The 19,050-nt window shown below is 44.9% G+C and overlaps 2 protein-coding genes across 3 annotated transcripts in view, besides 1 other annotated feature; both read right to left on the bottom strand.

The window, feature by feature from the left end:
- MPV17L-BMERB1 (MPV17L-BMERB1 readthrough) overlaps positions 1 to 17,991 on the bottom strand; it is a 192,506-nt gene extending 174,515 nt beyond the window's left edge. The window contains exon 1 of the mRNA NM_001414674.1: positions 17,538 to 17,991. Within this exon, the coding sequence (NP_001401603.1) occupies positions 17,538 to 17,847 (310 nt within the window). The 5' untranslated portion in view covers positions 17,848 to 17,991. The remainder of the gene's footprint in view (positions 1 to 17,537) is intronic.
- Positions 474 to 17,991, bottom strand: MPV17L (MPV17 mitochondrial inner membrane protein like). Of its 2 annotated transcripts, NM_001128423.2 has the most exons (4): positions 17,538 to 17,991; positions 12,888 to 12,958; positions 5,892 to 5,921; positions 474 to 5,812 (listed from the first exon to the last, which is right to left on the bottom strand). In NM_001128423.2, exons 1-4 carry the CDS (start codon positions 17,845 to 17,847, stop codon positions 5,633 to 5,635), a joined length of 591 nt encoding a protein of 196 aa, NP_001121895.1. In that variant the 5' UTR covers positions 17,848 to 17,991; the 3' UTR covers positions 474 to 5,632. The 2 variants fall into 2 exon arrangements, with proteins under 2 accessions (NP_001121895.1, NP_776164.2); NM_173803.4 differs by lacking the exon at positions 12,888 to 12,958.
- Positions 1,358 to 1,575: a silencer, noted in NCBI's record as "fragment chr16:15506027-15506244 (GRCh37/hg19 assembly coordinates)". NCBI's record gives its function as "represses an EF-1alpha promoter that drives an FKBP-Casp9 reporter gene in an ReSE screen in HepG2 liver carcinoma cells {active_cell/tissue: HepG2}" and the evidence as "EXISTENCE:reporter gene assay evidence [ECO:0000049][PMID:32094911]".
- Positions 17,992 to 19,050: the final 1,059 nt, after the last annotated feature.

Here is a 19,050-nt window from a genome sequence, read left to right as displayed (position 1 = left end):
TCTTTTCTTCTCACAGAGACCAGAGAGGATCCTCCGCTACCATCCTCTCTAAAGCAAGGCTGTTGAGTCCTTAAGTGTAAGAAGTGTAATAAGCCCTTAGCCTTATTACAATTATTCTGCCCTCCTGGAATGTTCAAGTGGTCATGGCACGGGCAGGGGGTGAGAGGAGAGAGCAGTGGGTTTGGTTGGGTTGTGGACAAAGAAAGAGGAAGGAAGAAAAGGATGAATAAAGATGTAGTTAGAGAAGGATACACTTAACAAAGGAGAAGAGAACTAGGAAAAGACAAGCTTTTACTTGATATATACCAAAAATGTTACTCAGTAATTACTGCCTTCTATTCACAAGGTTAGCTACAGTTCACAGATCTTCATGTGTTCCTAACCTTTCAACTCCAGCACATACTTTATCTTCAAATTCCAGATTTCCCTTTTTATGTATCAGCTGTTGAAAGTATTAAAAGAAACTTTTTCAGTCATTTTAATTGCATTAGCAGTGATTTAATTTTTTTAGATGCTAAACCTTATGGGTGAAAGTGGATTAAATGTAGCCAAATGCAACATCAAAATCTTCAGGCACAAAAACCCATTAACTTTTTAATACTCTCAGAAGATGAACCTAATTTCAAATGAAAGCTGCCTCCAGAATATATTGTTAAGCATATCCTAGATATAATTCATTCTAGCAAACATTCTGTAGAAATTCACATAACATTTTACTGTACTAAAAGTAAATTTCCCATGTAACAAAAACTATCTTTTCATAACTTCAAATGAATTTTAAAGGATGACTGACCGTCCTTGGAAGAGAAACAGTAAACAAATAAGGTTTATAGCAATGATGTATGAGTTAGAAATTGCAGTTCCAGGCCGGGCGCGGTGGCTCACACCTGTAATCCCAGCACTCTGGGAGGCAGAGGCAGGCAGATCACGAGGTCAGGAGGTTGAGACCATCCTGGCTAACACAGTGAAACCCCGACTCTACTAAAAATCCAAAAAAAAAAAAAATTAGTGGGTCATGGTGGCGGGCGCCTTTAGTCCCTGCTACTTGGGCTGAGGCAGGAGAATGGCGTGAACCCGGGAGACAGAGGTTGCAGTGAGGCGAGATCGCGACACTGCACTCCAACCTGGGCTACAAAGCGAAACTCTGTCTCAAAAAAAAAAAAAAAATTGCAGTTCCAGATAATCTCTCTATTAAAGAGACTGTCTACACTTAACTTGGTCAATTGTAGTGAACATAGTTGATGTGAAGTCCCCATATAAATACAACCTGAAATACCAAAGTTAATTTACTTTTCTTTCTTTTTTTTTTTTTTTATAGACACAGTCTTGCTCTGTTGCCCTTCCTGGAGTGCAGTGGCGTGATCTCGGCTCACTGCAACCTCCACCTCCTGGGCTTGAGTGATCCTCCTGCCTCAGCACCCCCAAGTAGCTGGGAGGACAGGTGCAAGCCACCACACCCGGCTAATTTTTGTATTTTTGGTAGGGATAGGGTTTCACCACATTGCCCAAGTTGGTCTCAAACTCCTGAGCTCAAGTGATCCGCCCGCCTTGGCCTCCCAAAGTGCTGGGATTACAGGCATGAGCCACCGGGCCCAGCCAGAAAATTATAAACACGCACAAACTCTCAAGTGGCCTAATTCCCTCTCATCAAACCAATCACAATACAAATAAAAGAGAATAACTTATATTAGTTTTTGTACAAACAAAAAAGACTGATAAATTGTGAATGATGCATGATTTTTAATTACAAGTAAACTGGGCATATGCTTCTGCATTATTTAAAGCTAAAGGGTGATCAGTGGAAATTTTCTTCTGTTAGTACTTTAATACTTTTTATATTTATCGGCTCACTACAACCTATGCCTCCCAGGTTCAAGCGATTCTCCTGTCTCAGCCACCTGAGTAGCTGAGACTACAGGACGCACTACCATGTCCGGTTAATTTTGTATTTTTAATAGAGACGGGGTTTCACTGTGTTGGCCATGCTGGTCTTGAACTCCTGACCTCAACCGATCCACCTGCCTTGGCCTCCCAAAGTGCTGGGATTACAAGCATGAGCCACCGCGCCCAGCCTTCTTATAATTGTTATTATTTAAATCTCTTTTGCTCTCTCCTTCAAGAGAGACCTCATCTCATTCAGTTGCATCCATTTATTTATTCATCTTCTGCCTCCTGAGCTCGAGAGATCCTCCTGCATGAGTCTTCCAAGTAGCTGGGACTACAGGCTCACACCACCATGCTTGGCTAATTTTTGTAGGTTTTGGAGAGACAGGCTCTTGCCATGTTGCCTAGGCTGGTCTCAAACTCCTGGGCTCAGATGATCCACCTGCCTTCGCCTCCCAAAGCACTTGGATTATAGACATAAGCGATCATGCCCAGCCCCAAGTACTTTTATACAAAATGCAAACACTATTCTTCTATCATAAAAGTGATACCACAGCTTCTGTAAAGTTTTGCACCAGGTAGTACTTATAATTAACTTGGGTACAGTTTTTTGTTTGTTTGTTTGTTTTGAGACAGATTCTCGCTCTGTCGCCTAGGCTGGAGTGCAGTGGCCTGATCTCTGCTCACTGCAAGCTCCGCCTCCCGGGTTCATGCAATTCTCCTGCCTCAGCCTCCAGAGCAGCTGGGACTACAGGCGCCCGCCACCATGCCCAGCTAATTTTTTGTATTTTTAGTAGAGATGGCGTTTCACCATGTTAGCCAGGATGGTCTCGATCTCCTGACCTCGTGATCTGCCCGCCTCGGCCTCCCAAAGTGCTGGGATTACAGGCGTAAGCCACTGTGCCCGGCCTACGTTTTGATGTTAAAATGTATCTTCTTATTACGAAACCATTTTTCCATTGTATTAACTACTTTTACAACAAAGCAAATAACAAGTTATTTTACAAACCATTTAGAAATTTCTGTACTATGGTCCCAATAATGTAAAATATATTAATGCCTTTTACATTCAGGTAAATTATCCACTTGGAAACTACATATTTATGACTTACAGAAACTTACATAAACAAATTATACAAATTATATGCTCAATTTTTAGGTATATAGTCTTAAATTAAGCTTAAATATACATTCTCAGGATAAATTAACAGTTCAGGGCTTCACAACTTGAAATCTGTGGAACATGACATTGGAGATGACAGAACTCTGGTGGAATTCTTAGGTGGAATTTACTGAAACTTTTTTTTTTTGAGACGGAGTCTCACTCTGTCACCCAGGCTGGAGTGCAGTGGCACAATCTCAGCTCACTGCAATCTCTGCCTCCCGGGTTCATGCCATTCGTCTGCCTCAGCCTCCCGAGTAGCTGGGACTACAGGCGCCCACCACCACGCCTGGCTAATTTTTTGTATTTTTAGTAGAGATGGGGTTTTACCATGTTAGCCAGGATGGTCTCGATCTCCTGACCTTGTGATCCAACCGCCTTGGCCTCCCAAAGTGAAACTTTTCTTTAAAATAGAGATGGGATCTTGCTGTATTGCCCAGGCTGGTCTCAAACTCCTTGCCTTAAGCAATCCTCCCACCTCAGCCTCCCAAAGTGCTGGGATTACAAGCGTGAACCACTACGTCCAAGTGAAACTTCTTGAGATAGTTACATAATTTTTAAATCTGCTGGTGTAGAAGTTAATAAAGTGTAGAACTGAATAAATATTAAATATTAGATCAAGTTTCTCATGTTTACCTTAAAGTATAAATATTTATCTTAAAGCACTGATTTTCACAAAATAACATCAGTGTGAAATTGGAAAAGAAACCAAGTATTTTATTTCATGTATCTGGGAAATGAGGTGCTTTAGTCAACTGAATCTGCCCAAAACTAAAAAGCATTCATTAAAAATTATAAAAATAGAAGACATCAATAAAATACATTCTACACAGAATACGCCAATCATACACTACTCTGTTTTTGATAATAAAAAATGTACTTACTGAGCCAGGTGCGGTGGCTCATGCCTATAATCCCAGCACCTTGGGAGGCCAATGAGAGTGGATCAGTTGAGGCCAGGAGTTGGAGACTGTCTCACGTGTCCGTGTGAAGAGGCCACCAAACAGGCTTTGTATGAGCAACATGGCTGTTTATTTCACCTGAGTGCAGGCGGGCTGAGTCCAAAAAAGGAGTCAGCAAAGGGTGGTGGATTATCATTAGTTCTTACAGGTTTGGGGATAGGTGGTGGAGTTTGGAGCAATGTTTTGCGGGCAGGGGTGGATCTCACAAAGTACATTCTCAAGGGTGGGGAGAATTAAAAAGAACCTTCTTAAGGGTGGGAGGATTACAAAGTACATTGATCAGTTAGGGTGGGGCAGTAACATATCACAATGGTGCAATGTCATCAGTTAAGGCTATTTTCACTTCTGTGGATCTTCAGTAACTTCAGGCCATCTGGATGTATATGTGCAGGTCACTGGGATATGATGGCTTAGCTTGAGCTCAGAGGACGGACAGAGACCAGCCTAGCCAACATGGCAAAACGCCCTCTCTACTAAAAATACAAAAATGAGCCAGGCATGGTGGCACCTGCCTGTAATCCCAGCTACTCCGAAGGATGAGGCAGTAGGATCGTTTGAACCCAGGAGACAGAGGTTGCAGTGAGCCGAAATCATGCCACTGCACTCCAGCCTGGGTGACAGAGCGAGTCTCTGTCTCAAAAAAAAAAAAAAAAAAAAGTCGGTTGTGGTGGCTCACGCCTGTAATCCCAGCACTTTGGGAGGCCGAGGTGGGTGGATTATGCGGTCAGGAGATCAAGACCATCCTGGCCAACACGGTGAAACTTCATCTCTACTAAAAATACAAAAAATTAGCTAGGCATCGTGGCAGGTGCCTGTAGTCCCAGCTACTTGGGAGGCTGACGCAGAATGGCGTGAACCCGGGAGGCGGAGCTTGCAGTGAGCCGAGATCTCACAACTGCATTCCAGCCTGGGCGACAGAGCGAGACTCTGTGTCAAAAACAAAAGCAAATGAACAAAAATACAAAAATCAGCTGGGCCTGGTGTCACGTGCCTGTAATCCCAGCTACTCAGGAGCCTGAGGCAGGAGAATTGCTTGAACCCAGAGGATGGAGGCTGCAGTGAGCCGCGATCGTGCCACTGCGCTCCAGCCGGGGAGACAGCAAGACTCCACCACAAAAAAAAAAAAAAAAAAAAAGGTATTTACTAAAATAACAAATTGTGTATGTTTTGGAGAAAGAAATCTGGTTATTAAATCTTCATTTCGATTGAGTTCTATGTAAATTAAAATTCACTCTAAGAACTATTTTTTGGTATAAAACTTCATCTGCCCAAAAGTGTTCAGGAGATAACCTGAGATTTTAGAATAGAAATGTGAACAATCAAAACCAAGTTTCCTGAAACTTGTGTTAAAATATTAGAAATATTAATAATTCTAAAATGCCATTTTGCCACTATTATTCATATTAACCAAAATATTAGAGAAGTAATATTTCAGACTAGAACAGGAAAAAAGTCTGAATACAATTCAAAAATAATCATTGATAATTTTTTAAAAAGTGGGTCTATAAATAGTAGTAATTCCTCAAAATGAAGTGCATAATTGGCACATCAAATATTTTGTCTGCAGGCAATTCTGTGCATTTTAGGTAAAAAATGTGGTCCCTTTAAGAGAGTCCTTGACTTCTCATTTCTTCGGGTACCCTTCTGTGGCACTGGTCCCCTTTGTATATAAAATGGTGAAAGCTGACTTGAATGTGCCGTCACCACTCTGCTGGGAAAAACAGATGAAGGTGGCCCAGAGAAAACCACAGACTCCAGCGTAAGCTGTTCTCCATTGAACAGGAACAAGGCTGAAGTTGGTCAGCTGGAACAGAGAGAGAGTCCGTTAGGGCCACATGGAAACCAAAGCCCTGAGTTCATATTACTGAGTAGGTGGAACTTACCTGTACAAAGGGCCAGTACATCAGTCCACTCTGGAATTGGGAAAAAAAAAAAGCAACAACTTTATTAGATTGCCTTTTATTTTTTATTTATTTATTTTGTTTTTTATTTTTTGAGACAGGGTCTCACTCTGTTGCCCAGACTGGAGTGCAGTGGTGCAATCTTAGCTCACCGCAACCTCTGCCTCCTGGGTTCAAGCAATTGTCGTGTCTCTGCCTCCTGAGTATCTGCGATTACAGGCACACACCACCTCACCTGGCTAATTTTTGTATTTTTAGTAGAGACGGGTTTTCACCATGTTGGCCAGGCTGGTCTCGAACTCCCGACCTCAGGTGATCCACCACCTCGGCATCCCAAAGTGCTGGGATTACAGGTGTGAGCCACTATACCTGACCTAGAATACCTTTTAACCACACAAAACAATTGCACAGTTCATTCCATAAAAGAGTAAGAAATACTAGGCCAACAAGATGCCTAGGTAGTATTATATTTCAGACTAAGCTGATTAACTTAGACTACTTAAGGCCTCTAGAGTGAGGGGGTTGGGGAGTTGTGGGGAAAAAAGCTATTAGGTAGAAGACATTCCTATATTAATTATATTTTTAACACCAGAATGAAAAGTCTACTAGAATCAGTACCAATTCTGGAAGACAGCGGCTTTGGAAATGACAGCATGTATATATGCATTGCAATTTCCTGGTTACCATGAACAAATGATGCAGGAATATATTTGTAAATACAGAATCATCAATGAATTCTTTTTTTTTAAATTAATTTTTTTTTTTCTGAGACATGGTATCTCTATGTTGCCCAGGCTGGTCTTGAACTCCCAGGCAAAAGCAGTAGTCCCACTGCAGCCTCCCAAAGTGCTGGGGTTATAGGCATGAGCCACCTCATCCTGCTGAATTATTTTATTTATTTATTTTGTTTGAGATGGAATCTCATTCTGTCGCTTAGTCTGGAGTGCAGTGGCAAGATCTTGGCTCACTGCAACATCTGCCTCCTAGGTTCAAGCAGTTCTCCTGCCTCAGCTTCCTGAGTAGCTGGGATCACAGGTGCCTGACACCATGCTCGGCTAATTTTTGTATTTTTAGTAGAGACAGGGTTTTACCATGTTGGCCAGGCTGGTCTTGAACTCCTGACCTCAGGTGATTTGCCTGCCTCGGCCTCCCAAAGTGGTAGGATTACAGGCATGAGCCACTGTGCCCAGCCTTGAATTGTTGAAACTATATACCAAACCATTGTTTATGGAATGATTTTCTAATAATATATTGAAACCATGTGATGCTATAGAACAAGTTTAGCTGAAATTTTCATATATTACAAAATATGTTAGATAGACATTTCACAAGCTTTATCCTACACAGTCCTATGAAAAAGTCATCATTATGATTTTTTAAAAAAAAGTCTTGGTATGTAAATTTATCTCAAAAAACAGCTAGAGGTTTTCAAAATAGTCCTTAAAAGTGGTATTACAGACTTATTTTCTTCTTTTTACTAATTTGTATTTTCTGAAGTTTCTAAAATGAACAATTGCAATAAAAGCTTTATAATATTTATGTTTATATTTAAAAGTAGATATTACATATAATGTGTGTATACATATACATATATACGTATATATACACATATATACGTATATGTGTATGTATATATATATATTTTTTGAGATGGAGTTTTGCTCTTGTTGCCCAGGCTGGAGTGCAATGGTGCGATCTTGGCTCACTGCAACCTCCACCTCCTGGGTTCAAGTGATTCTCCTGCCTCAGCCTCCGAGTAGCTGGGATTACAGGTGCACACGACCATGCCTGGCTAAATTTTGTATTTTTAGTAGAGACAAGGTTTCATGATATTGGCCAGGCTGGTCTCGAACTCCTGACCTCAGGTGATCTGCCCGCCTTGGCCTCCCAACGTGCTGGGATTACAGGCGTGAGCCACCATGCCCGGCCATAATGTATATTTTATATTTATTTATTTTTTTTGAGACGGAGTTTCGCTCTTGTTGTGCATCTCAAATTCCCGAGCTCAGGTGATCTGCCCACCTCAGCCTCCCAAAGTGCTGGGATTACAGGCGTGAGACACCGAGCCTGGCCCTTAATTGTTAAATATGCTTTAAATATAAAATATACCCCTGTAATCCCTGCACTTTGGGAGGCCAAGGCAGGCAGATCACCTGAAGTCGTGAGTTTGAGACCAGCCTGACCAACATGTAGAAACCCTGTGTCTACTAAAAATAAAAATTAGCAGGACGTGATTGCAGGAACCTGTAATCTCAGCTACTCAAGAGGCTGAGGCAGGAGAGTCGCTTGAATTCGGGAGGCAGAGGTTGCAGTGAGCTGAGACTGCACCATTGCACTCCAGCCTGGGCAACAGAACGAGACTCTGTCTCAAAAAAAAAAAAAAAATTAAAACTTTAGCAAAAATAATCAGAAGACTAAACTTATCCAAACATGGCTTTCCTTCTTTCTTTTTTTTTTTTTTCTTAATACAGACGAGGCCTCACTATGCGGGCCAGGTTGGTCTTGAATTCCTGACCCCAAACAATCCTCCAACCTCCGCCACCCAAAGGGTTAGGATTACAGGAGCCACTGTGCCTGGCCATGGCTTTATTTCTTATGGCTGTGTTTTTTTTCTTGTCAGAATGTAGTATCATGTAGTAGTATATTTTGTTCTCAAATCATTCCCCCACTAAAAGGAAGCAGGATGCCTCAAAGAATTGGCTGATTCTAGGGCCAGGGCAGGGCAGGTGCAAGTACAAGATGATCCTGGAACACGCTGTCATGCCAGAAAGGAAGTGGCTTAAGAAAGAAGTAAAGGAGAAAGAAGATGGGTGATGCACAGGACACAGGAACCAGCTTGGGGGAACTCCCACTGGCCGAATCTGGGACATGTGAGCGCTAAAAATAATTAAACCCTGCCATGAACTCTCCTCTGTGCTTCGGCAATCTCCCTCTGAATAGGCCAAAGGCATCTGACATTCAACATTTCCCAAGCTGAACTCACCTCATTTCTTTTTTGTTTGTTTGTTTGTTTTGAGATGGAGTCTTGCTCTGTCACCCAGGCTGGAGTGCAGTGGTGCAATCTCAGCTCACTACAATCTCCGTCTCCCGGGTTCAAGTGATTCTCCTGCCTCAGCCTCCCGAGTAGCTGGGATTACAGGCACTCACCACCATACCTGGCTAATTTTTTGTATTTTTAGTAGAGACAGGGTTTCACCATGTTGGTCAGGCTGGTCTCGAACTCCTGACCTCATATGATCTGCTCGCCTTGGCCTCCCAAAGTGGTGAGATTACAGGCGTGAGCCACCATGTTTATTTTTTTAAATACAGACAGGGTCTTGCTATGTTGCCCAAGCTGGTCTTGAACTCCTAACTTCAAGGGATCCTCCTGCTTCAGCCTCCCAAAGTGTTAGGATTACAGGCGTGAGCCACCACACCTGATATGCTTCCTTATTTCTTATGTGAACTTGGTCACGATAACCACCCACTTTGGTTTCCTTTGCTGCCATTACCTAACTGTGAAGTTCAAGATCCTCAGCTCTGGGTGTTCAACAGTCTCCAGGATCCAAACTCATTCCAAGTTGCTCAACAAATACTCTGTGAACACCAAACTGCCTGTGGTTTCTCCCCTCCAGGCATACCATGGTGCTTTACGCATTGTCAACTGTACTCAGCTCTTCTGCCCCTGGAATGACCTGTCCCCCAGTATGTGCATAACTTCAGATCTTTATTTTATTTTATTTTTTTATTTTGAGACAGGGTCTCACTGTGTTACCCAGGCTGGAGTGCAGTGGCACAATCGTAGCTTACTGCAGTCTCGACCTCCTGGGCTCATGCTAATTTTTGTATTTTTAGTAGAGAGGGGATTTCATCAAGTTGGCGAGGATGGGCTCGATCCCTTGACCTCATGATCCGCCTGCCTTGGCCTACCAAAGTGCTGTGATTACAGGCGTGAGCCATCCTGCCTCTTTAAAGGAAATCTTCCCAAAAAATCTCCAGATGGGCTGGGCTTCAGACTACTGGTTTGCCCTCTTTCTTCTCCTGAGGGTAGATGAGACTCACTCATTGTAACCAGTTTTTTTTTTTAAACAGTATGCAAATGTTCCTGTGGTTTTGTTCATTTACAAATCCCTGCCTGAAGCTTCTTTCCCAATTCTACTTCCTGCTCTCTTTTTTTTTTTTTTTGAACCATGGTCTCACTCTGTCACTCAGGCTGGTGTGCAGCGGTGCAATCACAGCTTACTGCAGCCTCGACCTCCCAGGCTTGCAATCCTCCCATCTCAGCCTCCCGAGCAGCTGGGACCACAGACACTTGCAACTATGCCCAGCTAATTTATTTTATTTTTGTAGCGATGGGGTCTCACTATGGTTGCGCAGGCTGGTCTCAAACTCCTGGGCTCTAGTGATCCTCCTGCCTTAGCCTCCCAAAGTGCTGGGATTACAGGTGTGAGCTGCCTACTTCTTGCTCTTTTTTTTTTTTTTTTTTTTGAGACGGAGTCTCGCTCTGTCGCCCAGGCTGGAGTGCAGTGGCGCAATCTCAGCTCACTACAGTCTCTGCCTCCCGGGTTCAAGTGATTCTCCTGCCTCAGCCTCCCAAGTAGCTGGGACTACAGGCTTGTGCCACCATGCCCTGCTAATTTGTTGTATTTTTAGTGGAGACACGGTTTCACCATGTTAGCCAGGATGGTCTCGATCTCCTGACCTTGTGATCTACCCGCCTCCACCTCCCAAAGTGTTGGGATCACAGGCATGAGCTACTGCCTCCGGTCCTTGCTCTTTAAAAAAAAAAAAAAAAAAGTTAGATGTACATATCTCCATAGACTTTACAACATAATGGAAAAACTTGTTCCTTTTTCTAAAGTAAAACAGAAGAAGTGGCTGGGTATGGTGATTCATGCCTGTAATCCCAGAACTTTGGGAGGCTGAGGGAGGCGGATCACCTGAGGTCAGGAGTTCAAGACCAACCTGGCCAACATGGTGAAACCCTATCTCTACTGAAAAATACAAAAAATTAGCTGGATGTGGTGGTGCAAGTCTGTAATTCCAGCTACTCAGGAGGCTGAGGCAGGAGAATTGAGAATTGCTTGAACCCGGGAGGCAAAGGTTGCAGAGTGCCACTGCACTCCAGCCTAGGCTACGGAGCAAGACTCCGTCTCAAAAAACAAACAAACAAACAAAAAAACCAAAACACACAAACAAAAAACAAAACCAGAAGAAAATCACATTTGGTTGTCACCATGGGGTCCTCAATTTCTGCCCTAAGAGAAATCACAAGAGTTCTGAACACACTTATAGTTACTGTTCCTGAGTATAGAGGCTCAGGGGAAGCCTCTGACTTCAAACCTCTCCATCCTCTGCCTCTAGCCATCAAGTAATGCTGGCTCAGGGGCCTGGTACCATCCAACAGATGATGCTAGAAGCTGTGGAGGTAATAGCTGGGTGTGGCTCAACACTGCTTTTGATAGGGAAGGAAGAACATGTGAAGCCCTAGGCCAGTCTGCGAACATTCTGTAATCCCAAAGATTTACCTCCTTGTGATGAATGCAATCAAACATGCTCTAGGGCAGAGATGAAAACCATCCCTGATTTTGCCAGGCCTTAAGGACACTGTTCAATAAATATTAACTGAATCAATGAATAAATATGTATTGGACTGGACTGTATATATTTGTGCCGAGCAAACAGTAAAAATGCTGATTTGCTTCAAACCTTGGAATAACCCTTGGAAACCTTCTCCTTCTCTATCAATACCTTTGTGATGTTAAAGTTCTTTTCACCAGGACTCCGCAGGATGCTCACCTGAAAACATTGGCTCTGAATGTGGGAATGATTCCATTAAGCCACTCACAATCTATAATCTCTATTTTGCAAATAGAATCCCAAATTTACAGAATAAATTGTTGTCCCTTTGGCTGCAAAATTTACAAAGTAAATTGTGATCATTACTAAGAGTTAATATAATAAAGTCAGAAATCACTGAGAACATGGACTAAAATTCAGAGATATTATTTCTTTTCTTTTCTTCTTTTTTCTCTTTTTTGAGATGGAGTCTTGCTGTATTGCCCAGGCTGGAGTGCAGTGGTGCGATCTCGGCTCACTGCAACCTGTCTCCAGGTTCAAGTGATTCTCCTGCCTCGGCCTACTGAGTAGCTGGGATTACAGACATGCACCACCGTGCCTGACTATTTTTTGTATTTTTAGTAGAAACAGGGTTTCACCATATTGGCCAGGCTGGTTTCAAACTCCTAACGTCAAGTGATCCGCCTGCCTCAGCCTCCCAAGTGTTGGGATTACAGGCATGAGCCACTGCACCGGGCCCAGAGACATTATTTCTTTCCAGTTCATGAGAAGTACAGATACTCTTAAAACCTCTCCTCATACATCTATCAAAATAACTTTAAGATTTCTATGTCAAAATATTGGACCCTTCTGTCAACCAAACTGGAGCTCTAATTTAGGAATAGTTTAATAAAAATGTACTTAATGTTGAGGTGGGAGAATCACTGGAGCACAGGAGTTCAAGGCCAGCCTGTGCTACATAGTGAGACTCTGTCTCTACCAAAAAATTTAAAAATAATTAGCTGGGTGTGGTGGCACATGCCTGTAGTCTCAGCTACTCAGGAGGCTGAGGTGGGAGGATCGCTTGAGCTCAGGAGGTCCAGGCTGCAGTGAGCCATGACCATGCCACTGCATTCCAGCCTGGGTGCCAGAATGAGACCCTGTCTCGAAAAAGGTTTTTTTAATTAAAAAAAAAAAAAAAAAAAAAAAAATATATATATATATATATATATATATATACACACACACATACAAAAAAATCCTGATGTGATTAAACACGTGTCAAATTATCACATGTATATGAAAATATGTACTTATATGTGTCAATTAAAAGATTTTTTAATCTTTATAAATATAAACACAAAACATATATTTTTATACACATATATATACATATATACACAAAAATATAGTGATTACATTTTCAAACGCCTATCTTACCAGATAGGTATTCCAGAATTTCTGTTTCAGGTCCAAAAATATGTCATCCTTTCCTTGGAGAATGCTCATACCTATTTGCAAAACCCAAAAAAAATTTTAAAAGATTCAGTAGAGTACCGTATAACAGTTCATGTTTAAGTTTCCCATTCCAAAATGCAAAGTAACCATCACTATCATCCAACAATATGACCCTCTGACCCAACAGTGAAAAGAGAACATAGACAGGCGCCGTGGCTCAAGCCTGTAACGGGAGGCCGAGGCAGGCAGATTGCTTGAGTCCAGGAGTTAAGAGACCAGCCTGGGCAACAGGGCAAAACCTCATCTCTACAAAAAATACAAAAATTAGCCAGGTGTAGTAGCGTGCCTGTAGTCATAGCTACTCAGGAGGCTGAGGTGGGAGGATCGCTTGAGCCTGGGAGGTGGAGGCTGCAGTGAGCTGTGATCATGCCACTGCACTCCAGCCTGGGCAACACAGCAAGACCCTGTCTCAAACAAAAAAAAAAAAAAAAAAGAAAACATAATCTCCACTCTAAAACTAGATAAATTTTAAAGGAATGATAAATACGAAGTGAGAATAGCAGAGTATAAAAATTATAGCAGAACGATTATTTTTTCAAAAACTAACAATTCACAAAAACAATCAGGTTACAATAGTGGGTCTATTGGTTACTTTCTCTACCTTCCAAACATTTTGTGAAATGTTGAACATTTGAACATTTTGAAATTTTAATTTCTGTCTTTTTAAAAAAGCTAGTGGGCTGGGCGCGTGGCTCATGCCTGTAATCCCAGCACTTTGGGAGGCTGATCTGGCAGATCACCTGAGGTTGGGAGTTCAAGACCAGCCTGACCAACATGGAGAAACCCCGTCTCTACTAAAAATACAAAATTAGCCAGGCATGGTGGCATATGCCTGTAATTCCAGGTTCTTGAGAGGCTGAGGCAGAAGGATCGCTTGAACCCAGGAAGTGGAGGTTGCGGTGAGCCAAGATTGTACCACTACACAACCCAGGATTTGGAGGTTGAGGTGAGCCGAGACTGCACCACTGTGCTCCTGACTGGGTGACAGAGCAAGACTCTATCTCAAAAAAATAAAAATAAAAAAAGGCCAGTGGACCCAAATACTCTGGCGACTACAAATTTTCCATCAGTATTACCCTATTCAAAATTTGAAAGTGGAACACCAATTCACCCTTCCTAAAAACACTTTGATCTTCAATATCCCTGAAGAGAAATTCACAGCCTGGGCAATATATCAAGACCTTGTCTCTACAAAACTATTTAAAAACCAGCCAGGTATAGGGGTGCGTGCCTGTAGTCCCAGCTACTCCAGAGGCAGAGGTGGGAGGATCGCTTGAGCCCAGGAGGTCGAGGCTGCAATGAGCTGTGATCACATCACTGCACTTCAGCCTGGGGAATAGAGTGAGACCCTGTCTCAGAAAAAGAAAAGGAAAAAAGTAACAATAAATTCAGGTAGCAAGGCAAAGCTCTCCTATTTTAGGAAGGTTGTAAAACTGAGAGTACTTTAAAAATTCTTTCCAATCCCTGATTAGGAGGGAGGGAATATAAGAGCTTTATTAGTTAATTACAGACGATTCTTACATGACCCAGCAAAATATTGGTAATACTGTGTTCCACTTACCCAGCATTAATTAAATGCTATGTAGTTTACGTGCCTCATTTCATGTGCCCCTCCTTACAATTCGCTAAGGTGGGTAGAGTTACAAAGGAGGAAAAGAGCTTAGAGAGGTTAATAGCGGACAGAGTTCAACCCAGGTGTCTGATTCCCAAGCCAGAGTTGTTAATCTGTTACGACTCTGGTTCCCCAAGGTAGCCCCAGCACAAAGATCAATTGATTCCTGCAATTTCCATGTAAAGCCTTACGCAAACCTCCACTCTATCCCCTTCCACTTCCCCTTTCATTGAAATGTGAGGTAAGGGAAACTGAACCAGAAAAACTGAAAACCGGCCAGGTGAGGTGGCTCACACCTGTAATCCCAGCACTTTGGGAGACCGAGGTGGGCAAGTCACTTGAGGTCAGGAGTTCGAGACCAGCCTGGCCAACTTGGCGAAACCCCGTCTCTACTAAAAACACAAAAATTAGCCAGGCGTGGTGGCGGGCACCTGTAATCCCAGCTACTCAGGAGGGGCAGGAGAGGCAGGAGAATCGCTTGAACCTGGGAGGCTGAGGTTGCAGTGAGCTGAGATTGTGTCATTGCACTCCAGCCTGGGCAACAAGAGCAAGACTCCGTTTCAAAAAAAAAAAAAAAGAAAGAAAGAAAAGAAAAACTGAAGACCAAAGCAAAGCTGCAATCTGGCCAGGAATCTGTATCAGAGAGCTTGGCCTGGACTTAGGTTCAAGTCTTGTTAGTAACTCAGCATCTTTCAGTTTCAGGCAAACTGTCAAACTTCCCACCATGAGAGCATCAAGTGCCTGGATTGTGTTGTCTTTGGGTGAGTCACAGAACCCCTTTGAGACTCAGTTTCCTCATTTGTAATATGAGAGTATTAAGAACAATCTCAAGTGTGAGGGCTCACGCCTGTAATCCCAGCACTTTGGGAGGCCAAATGGGCAGATCACTTGAGGTCAGGAGTTCGAGACCAGCCTGGCCAACATGGTGAAACCCCATCTCCATTAAAAATGCAAAAATTAGGTGGGCATGGTGGTGTGCATCTGTAATCCCAGCTACTTGGTAGGCTGAGGCAGGAGAATTGCTTGAACCTGGAGATGCAGGTTTCAGTGAGCTGAGACTGGGCCACTGCACACTCCAGGCTGGGCAATAAAGCGAGACTCTGTCTCAAAAAAAAAAGAAGAAAAAGAGAACAATCTCACTAGTTGTTTGAGGATTAAATAGCATTCTGGTCCCCTACCCCTTCACCAGTGTACCAGGTTCCTGTAACAGGTGCTAGGAAGCTGTTTGCAAATCTAGTCTGCAAATCACACACCGGGCACAGGCACAGACCTTCTGATAAAACAGGAGGCCCTAGCTCTCAGGCTGCCTGCTCTCCTGACCCACTGACCCCGTCAGCCATGTAGTTGGCCGCAATGACAACAGGCAACCAGGTGGTTTGTGTTTCTGGTGGGGTCTGTAGGGAAAGGAAGTGAATCCAACTCTTAAAAATAAGGCACACGGGGCAGGGTAGGTTTCTTCAAGATGGTGGCTTGTCTGACTTCAACCTGGTTTAGAAAGCACCAACAGCCCTTAGGAGAAGTTCCCTCCCATTTGGGGGGAGATCTGTGATCCCCAATCCCAAGGTCAGGCTTGAGACCCGTAGAGATTTTCTCCCCAGTTACCCACCCCATCCCCTTCAAGGCTCTAGAAATCGCAATGATGCTAGAGGCCACAGGGCCCCTCCTGTGAGCAGACGGGGGATCTCCAAAGATGACAAGAATTTAACCAACTTGAGCGATCAGCCTGTTTTACAGCCTCCTGACCTCAACCTGTTCTTCCCCAACCCTGGGCGGAATGAGGTCACCCTGTTTGTTTAAATCAGCTCCTAAGTGACCCCAGGTTACTTGTAGATGAACCCAAGTTAACTCTCCTCATTACCATGCTAAAGTCTTCACCCCGGGAGAAGCTATAGCTTCACGACTATAACCTATGCAACCTATGCAGCCTATGTGCTAGCATCATGACTCACTGGGACCCCTACTCTACATGCAGTCATGCACCCTCTCCTTTCTCCATCACCTTATAAAACCCTCCTGTCTCTTTCTCTGGGGGACACACTACTTGGGAGAATACGCCCAGTGTCTTCCTTTCTTGTGCCAAGTAAAACTCCCATTGATCAAAATCCGCCTCTTGGTGGAGTCCTTTGTGACTCGTTAAGGGAATGAACCCCGGTATTTTTCAGGTACCATTTCCATTGTTCTTATTGTATGCAGTAGAGAAGGTTTCCACAGTCAAGCCCCTGTCCCCCACACCCCAGGCCCGGGTCGGATTTTCTAAGGAGAGGGTTCCCTGAACCCTCACAGGTATATAGTCCTCCATGGCAAGGATCCAAGGTCCCTTGATGTTTTCCGTGAGACCCCAGGGGAAAATCTTGTTACCAAACCAGGACTAGGCCCCTGGGCATGAATTTGCTGAAGATCCAGGCCCAACCTCAGATTCCACCTGCTCTGCCCCTCAGGGTCACTGATCCCCTTGCATTTTGTTCCTGTGTTGGCCCCGGGGCCCCAGGCGTGGATTTTCTGAACAGCAGGTCGGTTCCTTCCCTGTCCCACGACTGGTTCACGGTCATTGCAGCTGCTACGGCCTTGAACTGGGATCTCCTTTATTTTCCCGTGGGCCTTTTTCAGGGGGCAAAGACCTCCGCAGCCCTGCCTACCTCCAGCCTTGGTCTACACCCAACCCCAGAGTCTGAGCCCCGACCCTAGTCCTCTAAATTCCTGACCTGGTGGACCTCTGGCTCCCCAATTTCTCGGCTCCCCAGCCAGTGCCTCCTGCAAATTTTCGCAATCAAACACCCCAGCCTCTAGCCTTTGCCCTGGCCCTTCAGGCCTCTGAAGCAGCTCCGGTCTCAGAGCCCCGGCTCCTGCCCGGGTCCCCAGGCTCCTGCAGCGCCCTCCCTCCAGCCGCTTGATCCCCGAGTCCCAGCCTCCAGTCCCCCAATACTGGGTCCCACCCCCCAGGTCCCCTCCCGGCCCCTCACCGACATAGAAGGCCGAGACCGCGATGGGCGCACCGACCACCTGGTCGCACAGCAACTTGGCCAGCAGGGCGTGCGGCGCTCGGCCCGGGAGCGCGCGCTCCAGCAGGCGCAGCCACACGTAGTTGAAGTTGGCGTGGAAGGTCACCACCAACGTGGCCACGCGCCGCGTCTGGCGCCAGTTGGCCTCGCGGCCCTGCAGCCGCTGTTGCAGCGCGTCCCCGGCCGAGACGAGCGAGCCGTAAAGCAGCACGTTGGTGGGCCACGGGTGGCGCCGGGCCGCGCGCGACAACGCCGGCCACCAGCCCGCCATGTCCGCGCTGTGGGCGCCCGCGATCAGGAGCCCGCGTGGTCGGCGTCTTCCTGCACCGGGTCCGGGCCTCCCCAGCCTCCAGCAGCTACTGCACTGCAGCAGCCGGCACCTGCATCTGCCCCCTCCAGAAGCTCCGGAGCGATTGAGCGACCCACACACACCCAGCTCGCGCCGTCCAATCCGGAGGCCACGGGCCGTCCTGGGGGCTGAACGTTTGAAAGGTGCCCGGCCCACCCCCATGCATGGGTCCATTGACACAAAATACCGAGAACAGGCAAAGCCACAGAGGCAGAAGGCATGGGGTTATTTATTTATTTATTTTATTTTTATTAATTAATTAGATATTTTTGAGACGGAGTCTCGCTCTGTCGCCCAGGCTGGAGTGCAGTGGGGCGATCTGGGCTCACTGCAACCTCCGCCTCCCGGGTTCAAGCGATTCTCCTGCCTCAGCCTCCCGAGCAGCTGGGACTACACGCGTGCGCCATCACGCCCGACTAATTTTTGTATCTTTAGTGGAGACGGGGTTTCAATATGTTGGCCAGGCTGGTCTCGAGTGACCTGCCCGCCTCGGCCTCCCATATGGGGTTATTTTTTGGAGTGATGAAAACATTTTGAAATTAGATAGGTGTGATGGTTCCATGACTTTGTGAATCTATTAAAAACCATTGAATTGTACACTTAAAAAAAGGGGGTGCATTTGGCCAGGCGCGGTGGCACATGCCTGTAATCCCAGCACTTTGGGAGAATTAGACAGGAGGATCCTTTGAGGGCAGGAGTTCCAGATCAGCCTGGACAAAATAGGAAGACCCCATCTCTACGGAAAATCAAGAAAAGGAAAAAGAAAAAAGTATTGTAATTACTCAGGCTTGGTGGTGCGCACTGATAGTCTCAGCTACTGCTACTCGGGAGGCTGAGGTGGGAGGATCTCTTGAGCCCAGGAATTCAAGGTTGCAGTGAGCCACGATAGGGCCACTGCACTCCAGCCTGCAAAAAAAAAAAAAAAAAAGAAAGAAAGAAAGGAAGAAAGAGAAAAGAGAGAGAAAATAAAATGGTAAGTTTTATGGTATGTGAATTTATCTTAAAAAATGATGGGACGGCCAGGCACGGTGGCTCACGCCTGTAATACCAGCACTTTGGGAGGCCAAGGCGGGCGGATCACGAGGTCAGGAGATCCAGACCATCCTGGCTAACACGGTGAAATCC

Source organism: Homo sapiens, chromosome 16 (genome assembly GCF_000001405.40).
Source record: "Homo sapiens chromosome 16, GRCh38.p14 Primary Assembly".
Classification (NCBI taxonomy): Eukaryota; Metazoa; Chordata; class Mammalia; order Primates; family Hominidae; genus Homo; species Homo sapiens.
This window is presented reverse-complemented; position numbering and strand designations above follow the sequence as displayed.